This window comes from Homo sapiens, chromosome 5, assembly GCF_000001405.40.
Source record: "Homo sapiens chromosome 5, GRCh38.p14 Primary Assembly".
NCBI lineage: Eukaryota > Metazoa > Chordata > Mammalia > Primates > Hominidae > Homo > Homo sapiens.
In genome coordinates, this window is record NC_000005.10 from 147,700,670 (window position 1) to 147,721,279 (window position 20,610).

At 37.3% G+C, this 20,610-nt stretch overlaps 1 protein-coding gene across 7 annotated transcripts in view; it reads right to left on the reverse strand.

Moving 5' to 3' along the window:
* The window catches only part of JAKMIP2 (janus kinase and microtubule interacting protein 2), a 197,291-nt gene that overhangs the window by 115,232 nt on the left and 61,449 nt on the right, over positions 1-20,610 (reverse strand). The window lies entirely within an intron of this gene.

Sequence of the window (20,610 nt, forward strand, 5' to 3'; positions counted from 1 at the left end):
AAGTCTAGATTCTCAGCCCCTAGCCATAGCCAGGAATTAGCAATCTCTGAGGGAAAAAGCAACTGCTGATCTTCAGATCACCTCTGGAAGTTTATTGCCTTTCTGGAATTTTAGTCCCCCTAAACTTGCTTTCTTTTGTAGCTCTCAGATGCCTTTAATATAGAATTTTTGTAACATATCTGGCTTTTTAAATTGTTTTCAGTGGAAGCATGGACCTGTCATGGGCTACTTCATTCTAGCAGAAAGTGGAAACTAAGGGTGGTGTCTTTGATATTTGAGCATATTCATTTGGTTGGCATATGTATGTGGTTGGAGGAAGGTATAATAATAAAGAAAAGTATGGGAGCTGGGAGTGAGATTATGTAGAGTCCTGTAGGCTATGGTAAGAATTTGTTTTGTAAAAAAAGCTGTAAGGTCAAAATATGCTGAAGACCAATGCCATAAAGGAAAAAGTCTCAAAGGAGAGAAACAAGATAAATAAAAGGAATATGATTCTGGAAAGGGAAGAGGGTATCCTGGGATTAGACTCAAGAAGGATGGATCCAGAGGCAGTGAAAGAAGTTAAATTACTTTGTGATCAGATACTGGTTTGTGGTTGATTAGTGGAGACAGAATATTTTAAAGATAAAAGGAGTGCTGATTCCTTTTCCTTACCCTCATAGTTAGTGCAAGTAAGATGAAAAGCAGCCTCTACTTGAAAAGGAAGGAAGGAATCTTCTTGTGAGCAAAAGTTACTTGTTATGGTCTGAATGCTTTTATCCCCCTAAAATTCATACGTTGAAATCTAACCCCTACAGTTACAGTATTAAGAGGAGGGGCCTTTGGGAGGTGAGTAGGTCACAAAGGCTTGACCCTCATCAATCTTTGATCATTGGGAGCACTGGCCTTTCAGCCAATATGTTTCAACTAACATAGATGGCATACATTTAGGTCACACACCAGCATGAAGGATGACTTGTGGCTCCATGCCAGAAAATAATTTTGTCCTTCACACAGCACCAAATTTGAATAGGCAATGCAACAAGTGCCATTATGAAAGAGGCCCAAGGAGGCTTGTTTGCCCCTTCTGCCATGTGAGGATGCAGCAAGTAGGTGCCATTTATGAGAAATGAGCCCTCACAAGACACCAAATGTGCTGGTGCCTTGATCCTGGACTTATCAGCCTCAAAACTGTGAGCAATAAATTCCATCATTTATAAATTACCCAGTGTAAGGTATTTTCTTATAGCAGCTAGAATGGACTAAGCCACTAGTGACCACTCATTTTGCTTGCACATTATCTCTCCATTCTTCTGATAACAGAACTGCCTTTGGGGAAACATCCCTTCTCATTCTGAGTCCATATGATTTTAGTAGAGTCAGCTGCATTTTTCCTTCTGCCTCTTTCTAATTGCCTGACACAAAAGTCGAAACATGATCCAGAGCAACTGCTTACAGCAAACACACTTTTGTCTAGTGAAACCCAATTCTAGAACTTTTGATGGAACTATTTTACTGGGGTTGATGGAATATTAATCTGAACCTGCTAGTGGCTACCTTGCTAACACAAGGGAAGAACCAAAACAGAAGAAACAGCTAAGCTATGAGGATGCAAGGGCATAAGAATGATACAATGGACTTTGAGGACTAGGGGGAAAGGGTGGAAGGGGGGGTGACGGATAAAAGACATTGAGTACAATGTACATTGCTTGGGTGATGGGTGCACCAACATCTCAGAAATCAACACTAAAGAACTTATGTACCAAGAAAGAAAGAGGAAGGAAGGAAGGTAGGAAGGAAGGAAGGAAGGAAGGAAGGGAGGGAGGGAAGGAAGAGAAAAGAGGAAAGGAAAGGAAGACAGGAAGGAAGGAAAGGAGGGAGGGAGAGAGAGAGAGACAAAGAAAGAAGAAAGAAAGAAAGAAAGAAAGAAGGAAAGAAAGAAAGAAAGAAAGAAGGAAAGAAAGAAAGAAAGAAAGAAAGAAAGAAAGAAAGAAAGAAAGAAAGAAAGAAAGAAAGAGAGAGAAAGAAAGAGAAAGAAAGAAAAGAAAAGAAAAGAAAAAAAAAGAGCAGAAGCCAAGGGGGAAAGAGACTGACAGGCAGCAAGACAGAAGCTGATGATCCAAACATGGTTGAGTATGGCTCTATTTCTATACTTTCCATTTATATGAGATAAATTATCTTTCCTGCTTATGTCAATTTGAGTTGTGTTTTGGCAAACTGCAAAAGAAAGACTCCTCATAAATATACTTGGGAAACTCTGCAATAAATGGGATTTGTTTCCAATAGGAGTTTAACAAGACATTAAAAATCCTATAATTTCAAAGAAGTAAAGAATCTCAGAGATAAAGAAGATACCCAGGGAAATGTTTTGACTTGCCCCAAGTCCCATAGTGAGTGAGTGGTGGATCTAGTGCTAAAATCCAGGTCTCCTATACTTTTCTTCTCTCAAGAAGAGATAATGATATACAGTCATGTGTAATTTAATAAGGGAGATATATTCTGAGGAATGTATCTTTTGGTGATTTTGTCATCCTGTGAACATCATAGAATGTACTTATACAAACCTATATGGTAAAGCCCACTATACACCCAGGCTATATGTTATAGCCTATTGATCCTAGGCTACAAATGGGTACAGCATGCAACTGTACTTCATACTGTAGGCAATTGTTAAGTCATAAGTATTTATGTATCTAAACATACTTAAACATAGAAAAGGTACAATAAAAATACAAGATGAAAATAAATGGTACACCTGTATGGAGGGAGTGCAGCTTGCTGGACTGGAAGTTGTTCTGGGTGAGCGAATAAGTGAGTGGTGAGTGAACGTGAAGACCTAGTCATCACTGTATATCACTGTAGACATTATAAACACTTAGGCTACACTAAATTTACATAAAAGTTTTATTTCTTCAATAAGAAGTTAACCTTAGCGTACTGTAACTTTTTTTTTTTTTTTTTAGTGACAAGACCTCACTATGTTTCCCAGGCTGGTCTCGTGCTCCTGAACTCAAACAATCCTCCTACCTCAGCCTCAAAGTGCTGGGATTACAAGCATGAGCCACTGTGCTTGGCCTTTACTTTAACTTGTTTACTTCATAAACTTTTTTTTTACTTCAACTTTTTTACTTCATAAACTTTTTAATTTTTAAACTTCTGACTCTTTTGTAATAACAGCTTAAAACACTAATATTTTTGTACTGCTATACAATACATTTTCTTTTTTATATCTTATTCTGTATACTTTTTCTATTAAATGTTTGTTTTTACTTCTTAAATGTTTTGTTAAAAACTAAGACACAAACACCAACCGCACATTACCTTAGGCCTGCACAGGGTCAGGGGTCAGGATCACTAGTATCTGTCTTCCATCTCCACAGCCTGTCCCACTAGAAGGTCTTCAGGGGCAATAACATGCATGGAACTGTCATCTCCTATATTAACAATGCCTTTTGGAACACCTCCTGAGGCTGTCTTACAGTTAACTTTTATATTTAAGTGGAAGGAGTATACTCTAAAATAACAAGGAAGTATAGTATAGCAAATACATAAGCAACATAGTCTTTTATTATCATTATCAAATATATACTGTGCATCATTATATGTGATATACTTTTATAGACTGGCAATGCTGTAGATTTGTTTACAGCAGTAATACCACAAACACGTGAGTGATGCATTGTGCTACAACATTACGACTGCTACAACGTCACTAAGCAAAACGAACTTTTCAGCTCCATTATAATCTTATGGGATGGACCACCATGGTAGATGTGGTCCATCTTTGACAGAAACATCATACAGAAACATCATTTTGTGGGACATGGCTGTATGTTCCATTTCTCTCCTGGCCTCCTTTTACTGGGAAGTTTGGTGTTAGGGAAGAGAGGAGGAGGCTCCAACATTAGAGGCAGAGCAAGGTAAGAGGAAAGACAACCAGGGAGTGAGGAATGATTCACTCTCCCAGAAGATTAAATTAGCCATTATTAGCTTCTTCATGGAAAGCCAACTGGATTCCCTCTGGTAATCAATTGCCCCAGTCATTACTCAAAAGTCAAGTCAAGCAGAGGTTTCACTTCCTTAACTTGTAAATATCTTTGGCTGTCAATAATCATTTCTACTTGATACTGTGGTTATTCTGATTTTGCAGAAAGGCTCTATGGTGGAGTTAGGAAGAAGCTTCTCCAAAGAAGCACTTTATTTGACTGTGTTTGAAGGTAGGTAGTCATAGGCCCACTGGAGCTGTTTTCTCAAGGATGCAGCATTTTACAGGAAGAGAAAATAGCACTAATAATGTAGCAGAGTATGAATTACAAGGTACAAGCAAACATCTGCACACAAATCAGCCAGGATAATTTTATCTCATCAGATGCCACATTCAGGATACATGAGTGAAATCTCTTTGGAATATGTTCGTTGTTGCTGCAAAACAGAATGTTCTTCGCTTTAAGAATAATTTTCCTCTGGTTTCTTAAAATGCCTTTTACATCAGTTAAACCCATTATAAGTGTGTGAAAAACTTGTGTTGATCAAGCTGAGTTTGAACCCTCAAATTCTAACAAAGTCACTTGTCTTCTGCATCATAAGCAGTGGATTATTGGAGCCAGGAAGGGAATTCCAGGAACCCCTTCACTCAGAGACAGTGAATGGTCAGTTGTTAAGTAAACAATAAGGCCGGGTATGGTGGCTTATGCCTATAATCCTAGCACCTTGGGAGGTCGAGGTGGATGGATTGCTTGAGCCTAGGAGTTTGAGACCAGCCTGTGCAACATGGAGAAACCCCTTCTCTACTAAAAATACAAAAATTAGCCGAGAATCATTTGAGCCATGAGAATCATTTGAGCCTGAGAGGCAGAGGTTGCAGTGAGCCAACATTACACCACTGCACTCCAGCCTGGGTGACAGAGTGAGACCTGTCTCAAAAAAAAAAAGTCTGAGGTCCTGTGTGACTTTTGGCAACACCCCATCATCTCTACCTTGGGCGTCACCTTTCCGATATGCAAAGCAAGTGAAATATAAGGTTACTTCCAGGGCAGAAGTGCTCTGACCTTCTATCCACAGGATAAAGTGTATGGCTGGGAGACTGGTTATGCAGTTTGTCATAAAACATTGAAAGAAAGCAAAGCCTTCATATTATGCATAATTAAGGACTTACCATTTAAAACTATAGTTCTATTTTTTATGTATAAGATGAATAATGTGTTTTAAATGGACTGTTTTGATGTGGATGTGGGGAAACACTCCTGTGTTGTAGTGGGAGTATAAAGTAGCACAAGCTTTCTGCAGAGTAATCTGGCAACATATTTAACAATTGAAAATGTAAGTAGCCTTTGATTTAGACACTCTGCTAGGAATTTATGTTATAGGTATACTTGAACATGTGTGAAATGATTTTTGTATATGGCATTATGCAATTATAGTATTGCTTCAGGTAGTGAAATGCTGGAAATAACCTAAATATTAGTATCTATAGTGGAATAGCTCTACAGTGGAATATCATGCAGATATCGGAAAATAAAATTTAGATCTGACAGGAAAACCTTAAAATATATTAATAAGGAAAGACTCTTACAGAAGTGAATTCCCTCGGTTCACTGATTCAAGAGAGGATCAGAAGGGATACTGGTTTTTTCCATCTTCCCCAAGACTGGAGAACCAGCAACTGCATTCTAACAACGTGTTGACCAGCAATGCTTTTCAGTCAAGGCTGGCAAGGAAGAGGCATGGGGATTCTGGCTGAAATATTGAGATATTCAAACTCCTGGACTCAAGCAATCTTTCTGCCCCAGCCTCCCAAACAGCTGAGACTATAGGAACGTGCCACTGTGCCCAGCTACAAATTATTTTCTTAACACTTTTTATGGTCATCTGGCTTAACAGATATCTCTTTAAAAAAGAAAGCAAAAAATAACAATAATACTGTAATATTGAGTACCTACTATGAAGTAGCACTAGAAATCTTTGTATATTCTACCATTTATCCTAAAAATTATGATCTACCCAAATATTACTGATGGAGTATTTCTAATTTGAAAATCCAAAATCTGAAATGATGCTCAAAGGACATGCTCTTCAGAGCATTTTGGATTTCGGATTTTTTGGATTAGGGATGCTCAACCAATATACTGCAAATACAGTGTTCCAAAATCTGAAAAAAATCTACAATCTGAAACACTTCAGGTCCCAAGCATTTCAAGTAAGGGATATTCAACCTGTATCTCCATTGGTCAGATGAGAAAACTCAGACTCAGGGAAGCTTAATGATTTGCCCAGAGAATGACAGTCAGTAAAGAATTGAAATTAGTATTTAGTTCTTTCTGCTGTCAAAGCTAATGTATTTACCTGTGTGTTATACTTTCTAGGCCTTTTTTTGAGGGTTATGAATCATAAACTTTTTAATACAGGCAGTTAAACAGGCACTATGATGTAAATATATATTAAATAATTCTAGGTACTGTGTTAAGTCTTCACCAAGTGCAGCCACCATGTTGAGTCCCAGAAGGGACAGAAATGAACACGTGCTCTTAGTAATGCCTGGGGTCTGTGTTAGATGTGCAACCAGTATTAATAAGTGCAGTGTTTCTGAAACCTTAGGCATGTTTGTAGCATCCTCGCAATCTTCACCATATCCACATGCCAACTTAACGTTACTTAATTCATTTCTATGTAAATTAACTCATTTCTTTTCCTTAAAGTCCAGCTATTTTAGCCTCAGCGTAAGCACCATATCTGTTAAAAGTTGCGGTATGTCAGTAATATTTTCTAGTACATGCTACAATAAGTATATCACTATGGGGAAAAATCCATTCATGTGCCATCAACACCACACTCTGGGAAATACTAGATTAATACCACATTATCTCAGAGTGACGCAGCCCCCTCCTAGGCCCCATGAGATTTTCTTTCATAACTTTTATGATGTTGTTGCTCCCAGAACTGAAATATGTAGCTACCAGTGTTTCCCTAGCATTGGTACACTCTCCCTGGTAACATATCCTGCTCCAAAATTGATAGATATATTCATTTTCCATCATGCACCACCCTTCCTAAACATTTGACTGACTGTGGATGTAATGCACAACAGTGGGTTTTGATACTAAATTTACGGTGAGTCAATGACTGATATGCAAATGAGATCAGCAATAGTAAGTACAGAGTCTTCTTAGCAAAATGAGTTGAAATAGGAGATTAGGGAGGAGTCATGATTTGAACCAAATGCTTCCACAGGACAGAATATAAGTGTTTTGAGGCAGGCTACATCAACTTGTCTGAACAAAGTCAGTTAGAAAAGACCTTAAGCTGGATGTGATGTCTCAGCATTTTGCCCAAAGATTGTGAGAGAAGAGGGCAATTTAAATTGGTATTTTATATTTATCAATAAATATTTGCCTATTTTCTAAAAGATATCCTTAGGAGACATTCTGGGAAATGTGCAACTATTGAGTCAAAGATTATGAAATTATTTTACACATTTAAATACATATGGTGAAGACTAAGATTTAAGTGACAATGGAAAAATAGTGTTGACTTCAAAACAATAAAGCTAACAAAAAATGAAAAACAAAATCAAATGTAAAGAAATGTGGACCGAAGAAAGATTCATACTTCCCTCAGCATTGAGTCTCAGACATTAACTCTCAAAACTTGAAGATAACCCATATCACCTGAGGAGTTTGTAAACCACACAGCAATTAGGTTCTACCCATATAAATCTGAACTGGAAGCTCTGAGATGAGGACTAGGCATCTTCATTTTTAGGAGGCTCCCAGGTCATTCTGATGCACACCACATTCCAAAACACTGACTTAATTAACAGCTAGTCACGTAGAAGGAGAAACAGGTTGGAATTATAATTACCAACACTTACATGTTAATTATGATTAGTTTAATAATCTACAGAATAAATAGTTCTGTAACCTTGTTATTTTTCATTCACAGTTTTAACTTCTGTTTATTCAATTCTAATGTTAACTTTCTGCTCCCCCTACCACATTTCAATGTTCCTGAAATCGAGATGCTTTTTAAAATTGATGTATGTTTTTTTCCTGAAAAGACGGTAGTAAATCAATGTTGCAAAATGCAATGAATTATGTCTTAATCAAAGAAATTCGACAGTTATGAGAGACCTCAAAGATTCACAACATGAAGCCCTTTGTAACATTGTAGGTTCCTGGGTTCAATTTGTGAGGACTCTGAAGCCAGTATGCAGCTGAGTTTACCTCCTGGGTGTGAACGCAGGCCATTACACACCATGGCAAGTTGGCCTTACTCTTTAGAGATGCAGTGACTCTCCTAAAGTAAACAACCACCTCAACAGCACATTTTGTTTCCTTGTTAAAATCATCCTCTCAATGTATCCAGTTGTTAGTGCTGGTGATGGAAGTGAAAATGTTTAAGCATGATAGTTTAATCTAAAAGCAAGTATTTTGAATAAATCAAGGAATTGAACTGTGGTAATAAATTTTACTTGCTTTGTTCACGTTTACTAAATAAATGACATAAATAGATTTACGGAGCTGTCCAGTGTTTAAGTGATATTTTATAACTGTATTATGAAAAATTAAATTACATTAGCAGAATTGAGACGATCTCAGTATCCAATGAGAATGTTATGGATTTGTATTATGAGACTCTTATACATACTTGCATGTATTTGTGTGTGTAAATCCAGACACACTTAGAAATATTTATGTGGACATCTATACTTACATTCATACATGCCAACTATTACATATAAAAATATTTCTATATATAATAACAAAGATCTATAAAAACACCTATATAAATATGCACACGTATATATACTGATGTATACAGTATATGTTTTAAGATATTTAAAAAATGGAATTAAGTATTTTGTATATCGATGACTTACTGTGAAGTCAGTATAAAGAAAGAAAGAGGTAAAAATATCATTCTAGGCCGGGTGGGGTGGCTCACGCCTGTAATCCCAGCACTTTGGAAGGCCGAGGCGGGTGGATCATAAGGTCAGGAGTTCAAGACCAGCTTGGCCAAGATGGTGAAACCCCGTCTCTACTAAAAATACAAAAATTGAGACAGGAGTGGTGGCATGCATCTGTAATCCCAGCTACTCAGGAGGCTGAGGCAGAGAACTGCCTAAATCCGGGAGGCGGAGGTTAAAGTGAGCCAAGATCATGACACTGGCACTCCAGCCTGGGCAACAGCGCAAGATTCCATCTCAAAAAAAACAAACAAAAAAACAATCGTCCTAGTCTTTCTTCTTTTGTTCTCCTAATCGTAGTCTTTCTTTAAGGTGCCATTGTCCTCTGTATTTCATTTTATTTATCAATGTGCATGCCTCATGTCTCTATTAGGCTGGAAATTATACAAAGGCAATGATGTTCTACTTGTCTTTGAAATTCTTCAATGCCTAATAGAGTGATCAGCCTGTAATAGGGGCTTAAAATCCGAAGGAGTATTGATGAATAAATGAGTCAGGAAATATGAACAACACTATGAGTTCTTTTATTAATTACCTTCTTGAACACAGGCAAACCATTAATTTACTTGGAATCCAGTTTACTCATCCTTACAATTACAGGGTGGATTTAGTTATTCTTCAAGGTATCATACAGATTTTTTGTTTCACATATTAAAATTTTTTCATATTATAAATGCTTTATAACATTATTGTGATATATGGATTCTGCTGAAACATACAATTTTATCACTGCTTCCATCAAATATATTAGCTATCAAAAAAAGAAAGTTAAAAAGACTAAAATCAGGAGGTATAAATTTTATATACAGCAAAATGTCAGGGAGAAGAAAAAGATTTAAGGAGCACAGGCTTAAAATCAGTAGTCCTAGAATCTAGTCTGGGCTTTACGACTTACTAGCTGAGTGATCTTCACAAATAAGTCAATTAACTCCTTAGGCTCCATTTCCTGGTCTGTAAAATAAAGATTATAATACTTGCTTTATCTCCTTCTCAGGGTTGTTGTGAGGTCCATTAAGATAATATATGTGAAAGCAGTTTATATAGTGCTGCATAAAGGAATGTTGTAGTTTTACCCCTCAATACCAATGTTTTAATGGCATTAAACTATGTATTGTTATGGCACAATGAATTCAAAATTCACCAAGGCTCTGCTAAAGAAAAACATAAAATGATAGATGTGATGGGAAACAGTTCTGAAATCTTAATTACATTATGCAAATGTGAGGCAATATTATTTTATATCTTGATGCAGATTTCTGAATCGGTTATAGGGATGCATTCCAAGTAGTAAAGTGTCTAGGTAACAAATGAATGTTTCTCAACAGACAGAGGAATAAAAATCTTTCTACTATTTCCTATTTAAACCAAAAGTCTTAGGCTTTTAAATCTTTCTAAACATTATTTACTATTGTTGAACAGGTAACATGTTAAGTGCAGTAGTCTGCAATAGTAGAGACATGAATAGATCTACTTTAAAAATTAACTTTTTAATTTTTACTCTCATGAAAACTTTGAGAACAAGGACTTAATGGCAAAAGCAAATATGACCATTACTGCCAAGAAACAGATGCTTGTGTCTAGTATAAGGGGAAACATTCATCTAACCCAGAGCCTTAAAGTCATAATGAGGTTGTTGTGGCTTCTTAGAGTCATAATGAGGTAGTTGGCAAGTCCACGGGAGTGATGGTAAAATGCCTTACTCTATTAATTTACTCATTTATTAGTTCATTCAACAAGTATTTATTTTGCATTGGGTACTTTGCTTGGAAGTGAGACCTCAGTAGTGAATTACAGGGATAGGTTTATTTTCTTGCCAGACCTTTCAATCAGGCAGAGAAAACAAATATTAAAGAAAAGGAAGGCAAAGGGGGCATATTGGTTAAGAGTATAGACAGCCTAAAGAGAGAGGCACTTATGGATTTGGGGGCAACCTAATTTTATTAAGCCTCAGTTTCCTCATCGATAAAAACAGAATAGTGTCATCACTGATCTCATGGGTCTTTGAGGAGATTAAATGAAGCAACGAGTGTAAATCATAGTGTGTAACCCATAGTAATTGTTGTTGTTGTTTTTTGAGACAGAATCTCGCTCTTGTTGCCCCAGCTGGAGTACAGTGGAGGTATCTTGGCTCACTGCAACCTCCACCTCCTGGGTTGAAGCGATTCTCCGGCCTCAGCCTCTCCAGTAGCAAGGATTATAGGCGCACACCACCACACCTGGCTAATTTTTCTATTTTTGGTAGAGACAGGGTTTTGCCATGCTGGCCAGGCTGGTCTTGAATTCCTGACCTCAGGTGATCCACCCGCCTCGGACACCGCGCCCAGCCCATAGTAAATTTCCAAGAAATGTAGACTTCATGGTGTTGATAAAGATATCTTTATCAATTATACAACTTTAAACCAGTTAAATAGCCTTAATGCCATGTTAGAACATTCTACAAGGAATCTTGCTTTATTCATGTCTTAGAATCTGAATATTTATGCCATGTTGTACTTTGAACTTTGTTTTCAGATCCAAATATCCCACATTCTCACCTTGGCTTTGCCGCCTGTCTTCTGTTCTGGCCTGCCCTTCTTGTCTACAACCCACAATCACTCACAGAAGTCATGTTTTCCAGCCACTCCAGGAAATAACTGCACAGGCCACCTGATCAAGGTTCACATGGGAGTTCGTCAGCCCAGGGAAAGGATTCAGCCAATTTTCTTTTTTGTAACGAAGCAGTTTACCCTCTCTAAATCTCAGTTTCTGCATTCACTAAATGACAGGATTTAATGTGATAGTGCCTTTTTAAAATCCATTGTTTTATAAATTCTTGTTTCTATTTTTGTAAAATTTATTTTGGTGTGAAAATGATGACATTTTACATACAGGACTCTTCTAAAATCATATGAAACCCATTGAAAAAATAGGAGCAAATAGGCCAGGGAACAAATTTTAGAGCCCTTCCACTAACAATATTACGGAGGGCTGCATTCTCATCTCTTCGTGTGGCTTTCACACATTATAAAATTGCTTTGCCAATATTGCTTAGTGGAGGTGGGGGAGGGGATATTTTAAAACTAGGAATTGGATGTTTCACTTGGTTGCTCCCTCATCCATCTTAATTTTGACATCGTAACCACACAGCACCCAGCACCCACCCCTTCCACTCTGATGGAAAGAATAGCTATGCCTACGAATGCTTAAAAGCAAAAATGGAAGGGCATACATTTTACTGCAAACACAGACGTTTCTCTTCCTCTTTCTCAAGTAAAAGCCTAAGTAGTAACCTTTTAGAGAATGCTAAGAATTGAAATAAATTCTTTGTTGAGTTCATAAATCCAAGTAATTCTAGTAAGTCAGGGTTCCTTTAAGGAATATGGATAACGATTTAAAAATATGTTAAGGGAAGGGAGGGAAGCAAAAGTAAAAGGAACTGTTAAAACCAGCAACCTCCATAAATAAGCCACATCCTGAATATTAATAACGTATTGTGTAAAATTCATTAGATACATTTTATGTTTCAGACATCTATAGCCAGCAATGATACAATGGAGCTAGACCAGATTTTTTTTTAACTTCAAGGATCACAGAATTAGTATACCTTAATTATATTAATACAAAATTGCTTAACATTTGTTTAATTTCTTTGACAGTTTATGAACCAGGAAGACTTTTTTGTAAGTGTGAGCCTTTCACTAACATCAAGGTTCCATTTTTTTACGTGAGACATTTTTTAACAAAAAGTGACAATATTAGAAAAAACAATAAAAGCTAAACTTTATTGAACATTCACTATATACCAGGTACTATACTTGGGGCTTTAAATGGATCAGTTTACTTAAAACAGCATAATGAAACAGGTAATCCCCTTTTCAATGAGTAATAAAACTGTAGGAAATGATACAATTTTAAGTACATATGAAATTCTACTTAATTAATGGCAGACTGGGTAATTCTGGACAATCGCCAACCAATAAAGACAATTTAAAAGGCTAGGAGAAAAACTGCAAATTTTAAAAAGCATTAAAGAACACATGAGATTATAAAGAATTACCAGGCTGAGATCTGAGGGTAAATAGGAGACCACAGCCAAGAACATAGAGCACTCAGGGACTTTTGCTCTGGTGATATTTGCTGATCCAGGAGAAATGGCTAAGAGGCTGAACGGAGGTTTTGGCAGACTAATGGGGGCTAGATGGAAATAGCTGGTGTCTAGGTAAGCTTGATTATTATTCTTGTTTTTGGGCTGGGACTTCAGAGTGCCACATTCTAACGGCAAAGGCAAAGCAAAAGTAAATGAGTACTCATGACGACTGCAGCCCGACTGTAAGTCATCTGGGTGACCTAGACAATCTGAAACCCTCTATTTAGATTAAAGTAATTCCAGATTGCTATTTTGCCTACAAGCCTGGAAAAAGCAAAAGACAACTGACTTGGGACACTCAAATAACTTCTACTAGCAATAATTGAAACACCATACTTCACACACAATAAAAGGTAACCAAACACATGAGGAGATGAGACAGCATGAGTAAGAACCAGCAGAACCAAAAGACAACAGAAACACACAAAGACTTCAAATACTGTAGCCATTACAAAGGTTCTGTAAAACAGCCATGCCTACTTCAGGGGATAAAAGTCATGCATGAAAAATTTGAAAGGCAACCTGAAAATATAAAAAGTGATATTATATAGGAAATTTGGGAAAGAACAAAATAGAAGTTATAAAACAGAAAAATATAACAACAAAAATTAAGAAATCAATTGATGAGTTCATTGGAATTTAGGTGTAACAGAAGAATCAGGGAATGAAAAACAGGTCGAAAGCATGGAGAGACCAAAAGACGGAAATGATGCAAGAAACAAAAGAAAGTAAAAGGCATAGAAAACACAGCATGGAAGTCTGTCATATATTCAATAGAGACTTAAAAGAATCCAAGAGACAGAATGGGGCTGAGGCAATGTTGGAAGAGCTAAAGGCTAAATTTTTTTTAGAATTGATGAAACATATCTATCCGTGGAGTCAAGAATCCCAGTGAATACCAGCAAGAATCACAGACAACGAGGAAATCTTAAATGCTATCCAAGAAAAATAGATGACTGGCCTATAAAAAGATAACAGTTACACTGAGAGCTGACTTCTCAACAGCAACACAAGAAGCAGGAGACAGTGGAATATTTTTCATAGGTTGAAAGAAGGTAACTACCCAAATTTGAATTCCATACCCACTGAAAATGTCCTTCAAGAATGAAGGTAAAACAAAGATGTTTTAGATGCACACTGAAGAAAAATCTAAAGGATGTTACTTATACAAAAGGGAAATGATACAGAAAAAAATGAGTGAGTAAAAGTGATATCTGGGCAAATGTAAAAGAACATGGATTATTAACAATATGAAAATATACATAATTATAATCATAAAGTGATAGCATCTAATTCTGTAATTCAAGAACAGCAGATATGGTTTTAAGGGCTAGAAGAAACATAAATGTATGTATTACAATTATTCTTTGATAAGAGAAGAATATGTTACAATTACTAGAATTAACACAAAGATTAGTCTATAACTTCTAAGTTAATAGAAGAAATTGAATGATTAAAAAATTTCCTGTCGATTCAAAATAAATCAATAAAGGAACGAGGAAGAAATTAATGTAGAGCCATTTGGGCAGACAAAAAACATAATGAGGTAGTAGATTTAAATCTAAATATCAGTAATTGTATTAAATTTAGATAAATGAAATATACCAATTAAAAGATAGAAATTGGCATACCAGGAAAAAATAACCAAACAGAAATCCAAAATTCTATGTTCCCTAAAGAGTCTTTCTATTAATATACACATATAAAATAATTAAATATATATGTATTACATATTCATGTTACTATATTATATATAACATAAAAACAAAATTTAAAGCAGCCTGTGACGGCTGTATTAATACTAGAAAAAAAAGATTTTACTAGAACAAATAGGATAATTCATAATGATAAAATTCCATTTCTCCTCGGAAGACATGCCAATTCTAAATTTGTATGTATATATTAATACAGCTTCAAAAAACTTAAAGGAAAAATTGACCAAATTTTAAAGGGAAATAGACAAGACCATAGTCGTAGTAGGAGTTTTTTCCTAAAACATTCATCTCTGAGTAAAACATATCCCTGCAAGATATAACATACATCATATCATCTCCAATGATATTGTTTTAAAATTATATTTCTTTTTTTTTTTTTGGCCAATTTACTTTCTTTTTTTTTTAATTATACTTTAAGTTTTAGGGTACATGTGCACAATGTGCAGGTTAGTTACATATGTATACATGTGCCATGCTGGTGCACTGCACCCACTAACTCGTCATCTAGCATTAGGTATATCTCCCAATGCTATCCCTCCCCCCTCCCCCCACCCCACAACAGTCCCCAGAGTGTGATATTCCCCTTCCTGTGTCCATGTGATCTCATTGTTCAATTCCCACGTATGAGTGAGAATATGCAGTGTTTGGTTTTTTGTTCTTGTGATAGTTTACTGAGAATGATGTTTTCCAATTTCATCCATGTCCCTACAAAGGACATGAACTCATCATTTTTTATGGCTGCATAGTATTCCATGGTGTATATGTGCCACATTTTCTTAATCCAGTCTATCATTGTTGGACATTTGGGTTGGTTCCAAGTCTTTGCTATTGTGAATAATGCCGCAATAAACATACGTGTGCATGTGTCTTTATAGCAGCATGATTTATAGTCCTTTGGGTATATACCCAGTAATGGGATGGCTGGGTCAAATGGTATTTCTAGTTCTAGATCCCTGAGGAATTGCCACACTGACTTCCACAATGGTTGAACTAGTTTACAGTCCCACCAACAGTGTAAAAGTGTTCCTATTTCTCCACATCCTCTCCAGCACCTGCTGTTTCCTGACTTTTTAATGATTGCCATTCTAACTGGTGTGAGATGGTATCTCATTGCGGTTTTGATTTGCATTTCTCTGATGGCCAGCGATGATGAGCATTTTTTCATGTGTTTTTTGGCTGCATAAATGTCTTCTTTTGAGAAGTGTCTGTTCATGTCCTTCGCCCACTTTTTGATGGGGTTGTTTGTTTTTTTCTTGTAAATTTGTTGGAGTTCATTGTAGATTCTGGATATTAGCCCTTTGTCAGATGAGTAGGTTGGGAAAATTTTCTCCCATTTTGTAGGTTGCCTGTTCACTCTGATGGTAGTTTCTTTTGCTGTGCAGAAGCTCTTTAGTTTAATTAGATCCCATTTGTCAATTTTGGCTTTTGTTGCCATTGCTTTTGGTGTTTTAGACATGAAGTCCTTGCCCATGCCTATGTCCTGAATGGTAATGCCTAGGTTTCCTTCTAGGGTTTTTATGGTTTTAGGTCTAACGTTTAAGTCTTTAATCCATCTTGAATTGATTTTTGTATAAGGTGTAAGGAAGGGATCCAGTTTCAGCTTTCTACATATGGCTAGCCAGTTTTCCCAGCACCATTTATTAAATAGGGAATCCTTTCCCCATTGCTTGTTTTTCTCAGGTTTGTCAAAGATCAGATAGTTGTAGATATGCGGCGTTATTTCTGAGGGCTCTGTTCTGTTCCATTGATCTATATCTCTGTTTTGGTACCAGTACCATGCTGTTTTGGTTACTGTAGCCTTGTAGTATAGTTTGAAGTCAGGTAGTGTGATGCCTCCAGCTTTGTTCTTTTGGCTTAGGATTGACTTGGCAATGCGGGCTCTTTTTTGGTTCCAGATGAACTTTAAAGTAGTTTTTTCCAATTCTGTGAAGAAAGGCATTGGTAGCTTGATGGGGATGGCATTGAATCTGTAAATTACCTTGGGCAGTATGGCCATTTTCACGATATTGATTCTTCCTACCCATGAGCATGGAATGTTCTTCCATTTGTTTGTATCCTCTTTTATTTCATTGAGCAGTGGTTTGTAGTTCTCCTTGAAGAGGTCCTTCACATCCCTTGTAAGTTGGATTCCTAGGTATTTTATTCTCTTTGAAGCAATTGTGAATGGGAGTTCACTCATGATTTGGCTCTCTGTTTGTCTGTTGCTGTTGTATAAGAATGCTTGTGATTTTTGTACATTGATTTTGTATCCTGAGACTTTGCTGAAGTTGCTGATCAGCTTAAGGAGATTTTGGGCTGAGACAATGGGGTTTTCTAGATATACAATCATGTCGTCTGCAAACAGGGACAATTTGACTTCCTCTTTTCCTAATTGAATACCCTTTATTTCCTTCTCCTGCCTAATTGCCCTGGCCAGAACTTCCAACACTATGTTGAATAGGAGTGGTGAGAGAGGGCATCCCTGTCTTGTGCCAGTTTTCAAAGGGAATGCTTCCAGTTTTTGCCCATTCAGTATGATATTGGCTGTGGGTTTGTCATAGATAGCTCTTATTATTTTGAAATACGTCCCATCAATACCTAATTTATTGAGAGTTTTTAGCATGAAGGGTTGTTGAATTTTGTCAAAGGCCTTTTCTGCATCTATTGAGATAATCATGTGGTTTTTGTCTTTGGCTCTGTTTATATGCTAGATTACATTTATTGATTTGCATATATTGAACCAGCCTTGCATCCCAGGGATGAAGCCCACTTGATCATGGTGGATAAGCTTTTTGATGTGCTGCTGGATTCGGTTTGTCAGTATTTTATTGAGGATTTTTGCATCAATGTTCATCAAGGATATTGGTCTAAAATTCTCTTTTTTGGTTGTGTCTCTGCCTGGCTTTGGTATCAGAATGATGCTGGCCTCACAAAATGAGTTAGGGAGGATTCCCTCTTTTTCTATTGATTAGAATAGTTTCAGAAGGAATGGTACCAGTTCCTCCTTGTACCTCTGGTAGAATTCAGCTGTGAATCCATCTGCTCCTGGACTCTTTTTGGTTGGTAAGCTATTGATTATTGCCACAATTTCAGATCCTGTTATTGGTCTATTCAGAGATTCAACTTCTTCCTGGTTTAGTCTTGGGAGAGTGTATGTGTCGAGGAATTTATCCATTTCTTCTAGATTTTCTAGTTTATTTGCATAGAGGTGTTTGTAGTATTCTCTGATGGTAGTTTGTATTTCTGTGGGATCGGTCGTGATATCCCCTTTAGCATTTTTTATTGCGTCTATTAGATTCTTCTCTCTTTTTTTCTTTATTAGTCTTGCTAGCAGTCTATCAATTTTGTTGATCCTTTCATAAAACCAGCTCCTGGATTCATTTATTTTTTGAAGGGTTTTTTGTGTCTCTATTTCCTTCAGTTCTGCTCTGATTTTAGTTATTTCTTGCCTTCTGCTAGCTTTTGAATGTGTTTGCTCTTGCTTTTCTAGTTCTTTTAATTGTGATGTTAGGGTGTCAATTTTGGATCTTTCCTGCTTTCTCTTGTGGGCATTTAGTGCTATAAATTTCCCTCTACACACTGCTTTGAATGTGTCCCAGAGATTCTGGTATGTTGTGTCTTTGTTCTCATTGGTTTCAAAGAACATCTTTATTTCTGCCTTCATTTCGTTATGTACCCAGTAGTCATTCAGGAGCAGGTTGTTCAGTTTCCATGTAGTTGAGTGGTTTTGAGTGAGATTCTTAATCCTGAGTTCTAGTTTGATTGCACTGTGGTCTGAGATATAGTTTGTTATAATTTGTGTTCTTTTACATTTGCTGAGGAGAGCTTTACTTCCAACTATGTGGTCAATTTTGGAATAGGTGTGGTGTGGTGCTGAAAAAAATGTATATTCTGTTGATTTGGGGTGGAGAGTTCTGTAGATGTCTATTAGGTCTGCTTGGTGCAGAGCTGAGTTCAATTCCTGGGTATCCTTGTTGACTTTCTGTCTCGTTGATCTGTCTAATGTTGACAGTGGGGTGTTAAAGTCTCCCATTATTAATGTGTGGGAGTCTAAGTCTCTTTGTAGGTCACTCAGGACTTGCTTTATGAATCTTGGTGCTCCTGTGTTGGGTGCATATATATTCAGGATAGTTAGCTCTTCTTGTTGAATTGATCCCTTTACCATTATGTAATGGCTGTCTTTGTCTCTTTTGATCTTTGTTGGTTTAAAGTCTGTTTTATCAGAGACTAGGATTGCAACCCCTGCCTTTTTTTGTTTTCCATTTGCTTGGTAGATCTTCCTCCATCCTTTTATTTTGAGCCTATGTGTGTCTCTGCATGTGAGATGGGTTTCCTGAACACAGCACACTGATGGGTCTTGACTCTTTATCCAATTTGCCAGTCTGTGTCTTTTAATTGGAGCATTTAGTCCATTTACATTTAAAGTTAATATTGTTATGTGTGAATTTGATCCTGTCATGATGATGTTAGCTGGTGATTTTGCTCATTAGTTGATGCAGTTTCTTCTGAGTCTTGATGGTCTTTACATTTTGGCATGATTTTGCAGCGGCTGGTACCGGTTGTTCCTTTCCATGTTTAGCGCTTCCTTCAGGAGCTCTTTTAGGGCAGGCCTGGTGGTGACAAACTCTCTCAGCATTTGCTTGTCTGTAAAGTATTTTATTTCTCCTTTGCTTATGAAGCTTAGTTTGGCTGGATATGAAATTCTGGGTTGAAAATTCTTGTCTTTAAGAATGTTGAATATTGGCCCCCACTCTCTTCTGGCTTGTAGGGTTTCTGCCGATAAATCTGCTGTTAGTCTGATGGGCTTCCCTTTGAGGGTAACCCGACCTTTCTCTCTGGCTGCCCTTAACATTTTTTCCTTCATTTCAACTTTGGTGAATCTGAAAATTATGTGTCTTGGAGTTGCTCTTCTCGAGGAGTATCTTTGTGGCGTTCTCTGTATTTCCTGAATCTGAACGTTGGCCTGCCTTGCTAGATTGGGGAAGTTCTCCTGGATAATATCCTGCAGAGTGTTTTCCAACTTGGTTCCATTCTCCCCATCACTTTCAGGTACACCAATCAGACGTAGATTTGGTCTTTTCACATAGTCCCATATTTCTTGGAGGCTTTGCTCATTTCTTTTTATTCTTTTTTCTCTAAACTTCCCTTCTCACTTCATTTCATTCATTTCATCTTCCATCGCTGATATCCTTTCTTCCAGTTGATGGCATTGGCTCCTGAGGCTTCTGCATTCTTCACGTAGTTCTCGAGCCTTGGTTTTCAGCTCCATCAGCTCCTTTAAGCACTTCTCTGTATTGGTTATTCTAGTTATACATTCTTCTAAATTTTTTTCAAAGTTTTCAACTTCTTTGCCTTTGGTTTGAATGTCCTCCCGTAGCTCAGAGTAATTTGATCATCTGAAGCCTTCTTCTCTCAGCTCGTCAAAGTCATTCTCCGTCCAGCTTTGTTCCATTGCTGGTGAGGAACTGCATTCCTTTGGAGGAGGAGAGGCGCTCTGCTTTTTAGAGTTTCCAGTTTTTCTGTTCTGTTTTTTCCCCATCCTTGTGGTTTTATCTACTTTTGGTCTTTGATGATGGTGATGTACAGATGGGTTTTTGGTGTGGATGTCCTTTCTGTTTGTTAGTTTTCCTTGTAACAGACAGGACCCTCAGCTGCAGGTCTGTTGGAGTACCCTGCCATGTGAGGTGTCAGTGTGCCCCTGCTGGGGGGTGCCTCCCAGTTAGGCTGCTCGGGGGTCAGGAGTCAGGGACCCACTTGAGGAGGCAGTCTGCCCGTTCTCAGATCTCCAGCTGCGTGCTGGGAGAACCACTGCTCTCTTCAAAGCTGTCAGACAGGGACATTTAAGTCTG